Below are 12021 nucleotides of genomic sequence, written 5' to 3'. Positions count from 1 at the left end.
GATGGGGACTACCTATCTTTTAACTGGGATCTCTAATCTCTGGGCAGAGCCCACACTGAATCCTGGGTTTTCAAAAAGGGAGAATTATTATGAAGCTAGACCACGTGATGCTTTTACAGTGCACTTAAATTTTTTTTTAAACAAAAACATTTCTAAGTGTCTAAACTACACTCTTCCTTAAAAACCCGAGTAGCCTCTGTTGCAATAACTATTTTAGTCAAAAAATTAGGTAACACAATACAAAAGCAACCAGTTTAAGAGCTGAGACAGGCCGGATGTGGTGGCTCATGCCTGTAATCCCAGCACTTTGGGAGGCCAAGGGGGGCGTGGATCACCTGATGTCAGGAGTTCCAGACCAGCCTGGTCAACATGGTAAAACCCTGTCTCTACTAAAAATACAAAAATTAGCCAGGCTTGGTGGCAGGCGCCTGTAATCCCAGCTACTCAGGAGGCTGAGGCAGGAGAATCACTTGAATCTGGGAGGCAGAGTTTGCAGTGAGCCAAGATCATGCCATTGCACTCCAGCCTGGGTGACAAGAGTGAGCCTTCCTCTAAACAAAAACAAAAAAACAAACAAACAAAAAGGCTGAGATGAACTTGTCTGTTTACACTCTTGGGGTTCCATAAGGAAAAACAAATATTTCTCCCCAAAAGGAAGTCTGGTACCTTCTCCATTTGCTTTAAGGAATCCCAGGCTATTATAAACTATTTTAGGTTCCTCATGCAGCAGAGGGTGCAAGAGAAAGGAGAGACAGCAGAAGTAAATAAAGAAAACATAATTCAGTCAAATGAGAAGAAAAAACTTTTGCTCAACAAAGACAAGGTCCTAGGAGAGGAAAAACAAAAACAAAAATATGAAGGCCTTTTAAATACGAAGACGCACACACACACACTCACACATACACACACATCTTGGATGTTAGCTTTTAATTAAGCTGACTTTTAACCACTGAGCTCCTTTAAAAAATATTCTTAAATCTCATTACCATATTTCAGCTAGGACAAATTGATGCTACTTCAGAAGTACCAGGTATCAAACCAGAGCTTGACTTAGGAACCAAACCCAGGCTGGTGAAAAAACACGGCATAATCTTAGCTATGGAACTGTAGCCTGGGAGACAGCCATTGCTTTTTTGGTTTCTCCCGGCTAGCAAAAAAGTGGCCTTGTTATGTAAATAAAGCCCTTTTTTGTGGGAATTTAGCCACTTTAGAGGCTTTGTACCCCATAATTTGGAACTTTCCTTTGGATTTGATCATGTCAGATACAGTTGGTCAAACTCAATGGGAAAAAGACTGAAACAACAACAAAAACAGAAACAAACAACAAAAAAAAGCTAAGCAAAACAATCACACAACTTAATATGATTATTGAGTGCTCTAACGGTAAGAAGAAATTAAGACCAGCTGGTTGTTAATCTTAACTTCAGCCAAGACAAACCCCAGTTCATTTACTTACCTAGGGATGGGTCTCAGATGGAAGACTGCTCTCTACCATCCTAGGAGCAGAAAAAAAACGAAACTTGTCTTCCCTGTTAGAAGTCAGCTTAAACTCCATAAGGAGTTACCTGCCTTCCAAAATCATGGAAGTGGGAAAACTTGCCTTCCTTGTGTTGGTAGCAAGTAAAACTTCAAAAAAAGAAGTTGTACAGCAAAATAAACTTTAGATCTTGATGAAATTTTGGGAGATCAGGGATTATGCATTATCAGAGATAAATGCAGTCAGATAGCCATTTATCTCAGTGATCAGAGGGATGACTTTGAATAGAATGGGAGGCAGGTTTGCCCTAAGCAGTGTCTAGCATGACTTTTCCCTTTAGCTTGGTGATTTTGGGGCCCCAAGATTTATTTCCCTTTCACACCTGCAATGTGACTGTATTTGGAGACAGGGCCTTTAGGAGATAATTGACAATAAATGAGGTAATAAGAGAAACCAGTGAGCTCACTCTCTCTGTCATGTGAGGACGCAAAGAAACCAACACTGCTGGCACATCATTGATCTTGAACTGCCTGTCTGCAGTACTGAGAGAAAATTAATTTCTGTTGTTTAAGCTGCCCAGTCTGTCGTATTTTGTTATGGTAGCCTGAGCAGACAAAAACACTCACCCATGTCTAAAAGACTGAGTGGGGGCCGGGTGCAGTGGCTCACACCTGTAATCCTAACACTTTGGGAGGCTGAGGTGGACGCACTGCCTGAGTTCAGGAGGTTGAGACCAGCCTGGGTAACACGGTGAAACCCCGTCTCTATTAAAATACAAAAGAAATTAGTTAGTCGTGGTAGCGTGCGCCTATAGTCCCAGCTGCTCGGGAGGCTGAGGCAGGAGAATTGCTTGGACCCTTGAACCCGGGAGGCGGAGGTTGCAATGAGCCAAGATTGTGCCACTGCACTCCAGCCTGGGCGACAGACCAAGACTCCATCTCTACAAAAAAAAAAAAAAAAAAAAAAAAAAAAGACTGGGGAGCCTAGCCTCCCACTCTTGCCAAGTTGTAATGGAGAAGGCTGAGTATGGAGCCAGGAGTTTCATCCCTATTGGGTGGTAAAGAACCCTTCTTCATCCATGATGTCACTGAAGACCAAGTGAAGACCTTAGACTTTCTCAACCATCCTGTAGTAATGCCCCACTCCTTTCCCACTGGGGTAGTGTCAGAGAATACTGGGGTAATGGAGAGTCAGGACTTTCACCACTTCCTACCAGTAATGAGGCTCCTCCCCTGACAACACCAGCACAGGCCACATGGAGTGGAGGCAGTAACACAGTACTCCTCCCCCTCCCAGCCGGTGGAGAACTTGTGGGGAGCTGAAACTCCCATTCCCCAAGAAGTGCGGAGCCTTCCTCACCTTGGGCATCAATGGAGGCTGAGTGGTAAACTGGACTCCTACCTATACCTGAAAGTAACAATGTGGTGTCACCCTCACTTCCTCTGCTGGAGTGCTGTCACAGGAAGCCAGCTACCACAGAAGGATTAATTAAGATCTAGGTCTCATAATATAATACACAAAATGTCCAGGTTTCAATTTAAAAAACATTCATAAAAAGCCAGGAAGATATTACACTGAAGGAAAAAAGACAATCATTAGCTGCCAATCAAGATGACAGAGATATTAAAATTATCTGACAAAGATTGTTAAGCAGCCTTTGTAAAAATGCCTCAATGAACAATTACAAATGAAAAACAGAACATCTCAGCAAATAAACAGAAGATATAAAGAAAAACAAAATGGAAATTTTAGAATGGGAACATACAATAACTAAAATTTTAAAACTCTGTGAATGGACTCAATAGCAGAATGGCAGGAGAGGGGACAGAGAATAGTATTACTAAGTGAAAGAACAGTGGAAATTATGCAATCTGAACAATAGAGAGAAAATAGAAGAAAAGAAAATAGAACAGTGCCTCATGGAAATGTGGAACTATATCGAAAGATCTTACATTCATGTCTTTGGCATTCATGAAGGAGAGAAGAATGAGGATGAGGCTAAAGAATTATTCAAAATAATAATGACTGAAAATTTCCCAAATTTGGCCAACCCCCGCCCCAAATTTAGAAATTCAAGAAGCTGAGTGAATCCCAAACAAGATAAAATGAAAAGAAATCCATGCCAGGAAACATTGTAGTCACATTTCTAAAAACCAAAGAGAAAGTAAAAATAATGAAAACTGCCAGAGAGAAACAATGCATTCCGTATAGGAGAAATAGAATTCGAATGAGAGTTGATATCTCCTCAGAAACCATGGAGGCCAACAGGAAGTAGCACAGTATTTTTCAAGTGCCGAAAGAAAAGAACTGTCATGCCAGGTGTGATGTTAGCAAGATGGTGGTGTAGGATTTTCCAGTGCTTGTCCCCTTGCAGAAACATCAATTTGAACAACTTTTTATTCATGAAAATGTCTTCATAAGAGCTAAGGATGACAGCACCTGGGTGTAGCACAGAATAAGAAAAGATGCCTTGAAGAGTGTAGGAAGGAGAGGTTTACATTACTCAAGTCACCCCTCCCACAAGGCAAGGCAGTGAGGAGAGAGATACCCTCTTTGTGGGGGAAGGAGAGAGAAGTGAGCACCCAACTTTGCCATGGACCCCAGCACCAGGCCAGTCCCAGTGAATCCTGCTGCCAGGCCAGCTCTAGGCTCCAGTCTAGGCCTTTGGCCCCAGACGCTAGGCGGGCTCCCCTGGCCCCAGGCTTGAAGCTCACCCCAGAACCAAGACAGGCCCTGCAGCCCCAGGCTCTAGGCTGCCCCCTGCAGACTCAGGTTCCAGGTCTGCCCAGCACCAGGTTGGCCAGAAATCTACAGTAAATGTTAGACTAAACGAAGAATTATTAGAACCATGTTCATTGGTCCTTTAAAGCCATGAACAAGACAAATATTGTCATTGTCACTGCTACAATTCAGCATGTGCTGAAATTATAACCAAAGGGAAAAAAAAAAACAGAAAATGAAATAATAGGTAAAATTATTGGAAAGAATGAGAAAGAAAGCCATTTGTTCATTCTCACATTTACGCCAAAAATGTGAGAAAAATTCATTTAAGTAGAAAGGACCAAAACTTAATACAGGTTTTAGTACAGTGGGAGTTTAGTAGTTTTAGTACAGTAGTAGGGAAATTATTTTCATTTTTTTCCTGTTACAGTGAAAAGTAGAAACTCTTTGATCAAATAATTTCACTGTTAGAAATTTTTTCTATGAATATACTTTCTAAAATACCCCAAAATAATATGTTTTTTTCACAGCAGTTTATTTAAAAAAAGAAAAAAATCTCAAAATTAATTGTTAGGAGACTTGTTAGATACATGTATATAATAGGATGCTATGAGGCATTAAAAATGACGTGAATCCATAAATGGTGCCATGCAATGCTCTTTGAGATACATGAAATAGTAAGCTACAGAACAGAATTATAGAATGGTCCATTCTATAAGGGATATGTTTTCTGGAAAATTATATAGAAAAATGTGGAAACAATGTTAATTTGAGGAGAATCTTGGGATTGAGGGTGAAGATAGAGAAATGCTTTTTAATTTTTACTTCTTAAAAAAATTTCACCACTGATCAGAAGGTGTTTATTTTTATTTACTTAATTTTTTGAAACAGGATCTCACTCTGTCACCCAGGCTGGATTGCAGTGGTGCCATCAAGGCTCACTGTGACCTCAAATTCCTAGGCCCAAGTGACTCTCCTGCCTCAGTCTCCCGAGTATCTTGGACTACAGGCATGTGCCAACATGCCTGGCTAATTTTTAAAAAATTTTTTAGAGATGGGACCTTTTAATGCTGCCCAGGCTGGTCTCAAACTCCTGGGCTCAAGCAATCCTCTAGCCTCAGCCTCCCAAGGCACTGGGATTATAGGCATAAGCCACCATGCCTGGACTATTTTTATTTCTGATTGCATACCTTTTTGTACAGGTCAGAAGTTTTAAAACATATTTAAAAATCAATACCTTTGCTTCATGCCACCAGTAACTTATTAGAAAATATTAATAATTAAAATTACGTATTTCACAGCAGTTAACATAAACCACAAAAGACGTAGGAATAAACCTTACCAGAAATGTCCAAAACTGGGATAGAGAAAAGGTCAAAATTCTACCAAAGGACATAAAATAAGACGTGAATAAAAAGAAAGATACTTCATATTACTGGAAGGAAAGTTTCTGGGCTATAGATTCAGGAATAAATTGATAGAGGGTGTTTTTTTTTTCTACAGCTGAAAGAAAATCTCCAGCAAATGTCCCAAGCTCTGAGCTTCATCTTGTAGTGCACAGGAGAGTTAGTCTGGGGGAAGGAGATAGGTTTGTTGGTTTGAGGTGAGGGAGAGTGATGCTACCTGCATAGAAATGTCAGTTTTTTCCTGTTTTTTTTTTTAGACTTGCCCCTCCCAATGGCCTTTCAGTTCCCTGAGCTCCTGCAGCCCAACCACCAGATTCAGAGTATTAAAATTCACCTTGCTTTTATTTACTCATTGATACACCCCTCTTCCCCCACCTATGCTCCCTCCCCACTACATGTCACCCACTCTGCACCAGTTAGGCTTCTAGAACCTGGAAACATTTTCCAGGGACCCTACCTTCTCCCCCAGGAAGCTTTCCAGGAATTAGCTTTCATTGCCCTCCCTACTTCTGACCAGATAGTTTGGCTCCAGGGACCCTACCTTCTCCCCCAGGAAGCTTTCCAGGAGTTAGCTTTCATTGCCCTCCCTACTTCTGACCAGATAGTTTGGCCCTTCAGGTCAACTGGGGGACTGTTGCCCTACTGCACAGCATTGGCATATTCCAGTGCACACTGGCCTCCAGCCAGGCACCATGGGGTGGCCATCTTTAAGGCACATGGCCACCCTACACACTGCAATGAATCAAGATGTTAAAATAGAGATCATGAGACTAATAGGATAGACTCTTTGTGTCAATAAGATACTAAATTATAAAAAAGACCTAAGGCCATGCCAGATGAGGGTTAAATCATGTACCCCTATAGTTAAAGAATAAACTATGTTCTAACTGCCACAAGGTTTTTTTCTTTTTCTCTAGCAGCTAAACAAACACTGGCATCAAGATAAGCAAAACAGTTGCAGCTCAACAATGGCCAGACACTGACCAGCTGACTCTCCTGTTCCACAAACCATAACTACAGTTTTGATTCATCACATATTTGATAAATTATACCAGTAGATTTCCTAAATCTGAGTTATCATGCTGTTCCTGAAAAGAACATCTCAGTTTACTTTGGACTAGTAGATTCTTACTTTATGTATAGCAGGTTCTTCTTACGAATATTTTACATAGGAATTTTTGTAGAATATTAATGACTTACCTCTGATTTATATTGTTCATGTAGGTGTTATATGTGGTTTTTGTAACAAAATCATACTGGCTGAATGGAAAAAAAAACAAACTTGGGAGCTTTTCTCTGTGTGATCTAGAAAACTTAAAGCAGCTTTGCAATTATCTATTGCTTGGCAATTTGATAAAATTCACCCATGAAATTAAACAGAATATTTTCCCATCTTGTCCACATCAAACAATTCTGATTATTTCAGATGAAGTGGGATTTACCTATGTATAGCATTTATTGTCATTTGAGGATGTGGCTGTGGACTTCAAACAGGAGGAGTGGCAGCAACTGGACCTTGCTCAGAGAGTCCTATATATGATGTGATGTTAGAGAATTATAGTCATTACCCTAATTTTAGTGCATGAGGATAGAGTCCCTGAATTAGAATGTTTCCAATACTGAGCACTTTCACTTTGGTTTTGTGGCCTCAGAAATATTTATTGCTTTTGCCCTTGAAGGATTGTGCATCTCTCTTGCCTAAATAATAGCATAATTGACTCATTTACCTATAAATGATATTGACTTTGTCAAGGTAAAAATGGGTAGCTTAATTTTCCCCATTATTCTGGAGTCTCAAGCCAAGGTACTGAGGCCGAGTTCTGGGATAATTCTTCTATTCTAGTACTGATACCCAAGTTTTGTGTTATTTTGTACAAACAGTATCTACCAAAGCAAACACGACTGTCATACTGAAGCATGGAGAAGAACCATGGACACTGGGGGGAGAACCTCAAGGTTTGGACTATTAATGAGTAAGTTAGAATAAGGCATTTGAGAGATGATGGCAAAAATAAACCTGTCCCATTCATACCTGTTTTAGCCATACTTACTTTACCTCTTCTACCTCAGTCTCACTTTTTCCTTATTTTTAGTCTTTTTCATCATCTCTTTTTTTCAGATTGAAATAATATGCCAGAAGAACCAGAAGCTATCATAGCTGAAGATGTTTCATTGTCTAATGAGATAATGAAAAAATTGAGATAATGAAAATAGTGAGATAATAAAATAATTAAAATAATGAGATAATGAAAATAAGTGGCTCATTATACTCCTTTAATGAAGAAGTTTGTCAAGCTGATGATCAAATAGATGGGTTCCAGGAAAACCGAGGCAGGCTGATAAGGCAGTTTGCATTCACCAAAAATACAACAGTGTTGGAAAAGGGAGGTTTTGCATAAAATGCATTTGGAAAATTTTTCCCTCTGAGTACGAGCCTTCTTCTGAAAAGACAAAGACCTCACAAATATGGAGTATTGGGGGAATAATTGGATACATAATTTAGGTTTACTTAGTCATAACAGGAGTTTAAAAGAAACATGAACAGCATAATGAATATCATAAATTATTTAGTGACATCCATACTCTTGTGAAGAAAAAAAGAAAAAAATTATTTAGCTATAGTTTATTCCATACCAAGAATGAGAATACTTGGAGTCTCATTGACTATAATAAATGTGACCAAATGCTGACTCATGGATCATCCATTTATAAATATGTGATTAATCATGAAGACAAGATGCCCTATGAATGCAATGAGTGTGGAAAAGTCTTTGTCTAAAAGTCACTTTTTATTGTACATCAGAGACCTCATATAGGAGAGAAAGCATACATATGTACTATGCGTGTCCAGGCATTTAGTAGGAACTCATACCTCATTATGCACCAAAAAACTCATACAGGAGAAAATTCCTATGAATGTTCTCATTGCAGGAAAACGTTCAGGAAGAAGATCTGCCTCATTATATATTAGAGAATTCATACTAGGAAAAACCCCTATAATTGTAACCTATGTAAAAAGTTTTCAGGCATAGTTACATCTTAACATGACAAAAGAAATTCACACAGGCAAAATACTCTATGAATGTAATGAATGTAGAAAAGTTTGAACCCAGATGTCAGCACTCATTGTACATATGAGAATTCATACTGGAAAGAGACATTTGAATGCATGGAATGTGGGAAAATTTTCAGGCACAACTCAGAACTTTAGAAACGTGAGGATGGCTGGACATGGGGTTCACACCTGTAATCCCAACACTTTAGGAGGCTGAGGCGGGTGGATTGCTTGAGGCCAGACATTTGAGACCAGCCTGAGCAACATGGTGAAAACCAATCTCTACTAAAATACAAAAATTAGCCAGGCGTGGTGGTGCATGCCTGTAGTCCCAGCTACTCAGGAGGCTGAGGCAGGAGAGTCGCTTGAACCTGGGAGGCAGAGGTTGCAGTGAGCTGAGATCACACAACAGCACTCCAGCCTGGGCAACAGAGTGAGACATTGTTTCAGAAAAAAATGAAAGAAATAAAAAGAAATGAGAGGACTTGTACAGGAGAGAAGCCTTACTGAATGTGGGAAAACCTGTATCTGGAAATCGTAACTTACGGTTTATCAGAGGTTTCATACTGGGCATAAGCCCTATAAATGTACTAAATGTGGCAAATCTTTTACCAAGAAGTCATATCTCATTGTACATTAGATAATTTATACTGTTGAGAAGCCCTTTGCATTGAATAAATGTGCAAAAACTTTCGGCTATACTTCAGCCCTTATTAGAAATAAGAAAACACACACAGGCAAAATGACTTATGACTGACTTGATCTACAATTTGCAATTCTCTCTACATCAGAAATTTCATACTGAAGAAAATCTATAAAAGTTCTGAATGTGAGAAACCTTCAACATGATCTCCAGGCTTATTAACCATATGATTTGTACTGAGGATAAATCAGGCTAATTTAATGAATTTGGAAAATTATGTTGCCAAGATATAGTGTCACAAGGGAAGTCATTTTCCAGACCCTATATAAAACATTTCATTAAAAATACTTCAGAAAATTATAAATTAGAATTCATACATATTTTTAAATGACAATAATTTAAGTAGGTGAGATTCCAGAATTACAAATCAAATATAAAGACGGTCCCAAACTTATATAAGGATTTCATTTCTGAGTGCACTATATGAGGGAACTACATGGCTGGGGTGGTCTATACGAGTGTAACATCAATGTATATAGAAACAGAATATAGAATAATACTTACCAAGAAATTTTACACCTAACCACGCTATTTTATCTTTCCCAAGGCTAATGTCCAGAATGGTGTTTCCTAGGTTTTCTTCTAAGATTCTTACAGTTTGAGGTGTTATCTTTAAATCTTTAGTTCACCTTGAGTGAATTTTTTGTCATGAACGGTTGGGGTCCAGTTTTATTCTTCTATATATGGCTAGCCAGCTAAAAATAATGGCATTCTAATTTAATCATTCACCCTTCCTATAAAGAGGTGTTTCTCCTTATCTACTCTTTAGTTTTCCAAGGTATCATTAAAATAGAAAAGGCAAGGAAATCCTTCTTTTCTTAAAAAAAAAAAACAAAACACAACGGTTTTTAGCATAAAGAATAGGTTTCCTAGGGTCTTCCAATGCTAACTAATTCTTTTTCTGGTGAATTTATAAATTCATGTATTTAAATATTCAGTGAGCTTCAATCTATTCAGTTACTAATTTTGATGCTTAAGTGGTCTCATCTTTGGTCAGTGATAGCCTTTTCAGATTGGCTTTTGAAGAATCTTAATAGGTTTTTATAGTTTTTGCTTTCTCCTGTAAGATGTAATAGGCTTATTTTATACATTTTCTGCTTCAGTTCTTTTACCATGTAACTGCAGTACCCTTCAACTCTGACTCTGGGATCAGCCTTTTTACTTACATTGTCCAAGGGACTGAAGTAGAAGTGTTGCAAATTTCAGAGACTAAGCCGCCATAAGATTTGTGTGCTTATATTTTTGTATTTTTAGCATCACCATGAAAATATGTTCACACTAGCCCACTGGTTCCATGTGGAGAATGAGCGACACATCCTATAGCTGGCCCTGCTAACCTTCTCCATCAAGGCCAGACTTGAGTGGAGCTGTCAACCAACCTGCTGACATGAGTCAGCTGAAGTCAGCTGACTCATAGCCAACCCATAGCCACATAAATGATGATGATGATGATGATGATCACAAGCATTCTATTTTAGGTCACTGAGTTTTCTTGACACGGTAGCTAACTGACACACTTTCATTTAAAGTGTGTCTCATAAAAAATGATATAGATTTTGTATTAATCATCAAGTATGACAATCTTTGTCTTAATAGGATTTTAATCACTTTACATATAATGTAGACACTAATATAGTTGCATTGAACCATAATCTTGCCATTTTTTTGTTTGTTCCAACATTTATTTTTTATTCTTCCTTTTTTGCCTCTTTTGAAGCGATGAAATACAGGCATAACTCCTTTTACTGTGCCTCACTTTATTTTGCTTGGCAGAGGTTGCAATTTTTGCAAATTGAAGGCCTGAGGCAACCCTGCATTGAAGTTTATTGGCACCATTTTTCCAATAGCATGTGCTCACTTAAGTCTCTGTGCCATGTTTTGGTAATTCTCACAATATTGTACACTTTTTTATTATTATTGTATCTGTTATGATAATCTGTGATCAGTGATCTTTGATGTTACTATTGCGATTGCTTTGTGGTGCTACAAACCACACTTCATTGGTGAATTCTGCCAAACATTTAAAGAACACCAAGCCTTCTCAAACTTTTCCAAAAAGTTTAAGAGGAGGAAACACTTCCTAACTCATTCTATGAGGTATAGCATTACTCTGTTACCAAAGCCAAAGACACTATAAGAAAACTTGATATACTGCTGAAAGCTGGATTTGCTATATACTGTAAGGGAAAGGAAAAATGTTTTGTTTACTGGAAGTACTTGTTTGTCTCATCCTGCACTTGTACAATTCAGTCTCCGTAAGTGCTTTCACATCCCCTTCTCTATTATGCCCAATCCTAAATTCTTTTTTGCATACTGTGTAGTATGCTGTTTTAATTATTTACCTCCCTAATCAGTTGTATGTATGTTTATAGCCGTCATTAAAATGTCTTTTCCTGGATGTCTGGATCATGCTGGTGTTGGTACTATAATCATACTTATTTTTATTGTCTGAACTCTTAGAAAACATTGTCATAATATTTACAATGTTAAAAATTAAACTAGCACAATAATTGGTAGAAAGCAGCATAGTTAATCCAACTTAAACACTCCTGAATGCTTATGATGGCAATGCACTTAAGTCATACACTTAAATCCCAACATTCCAAAGTGACCCAACAATGGGTAATCCATTATTGTAAATTGCAAATTATGGTCGCCA

Source organism: Homo sapiens, chromosome 5, assembly GCF_000001405.40.
Source record: "Homo sapiens chromosome 5, GRCh38.p14 Primary Assembly".
Classification (NCBI taxonomy): domain Eukaryota; kingdom Metazoa; phylum Chordata; class Mammalia; order Primates; family Hominidae; genus Homo; species Homo sapiens.
This window is presented reverse-complemented; position numbering follows the sequence as displayed.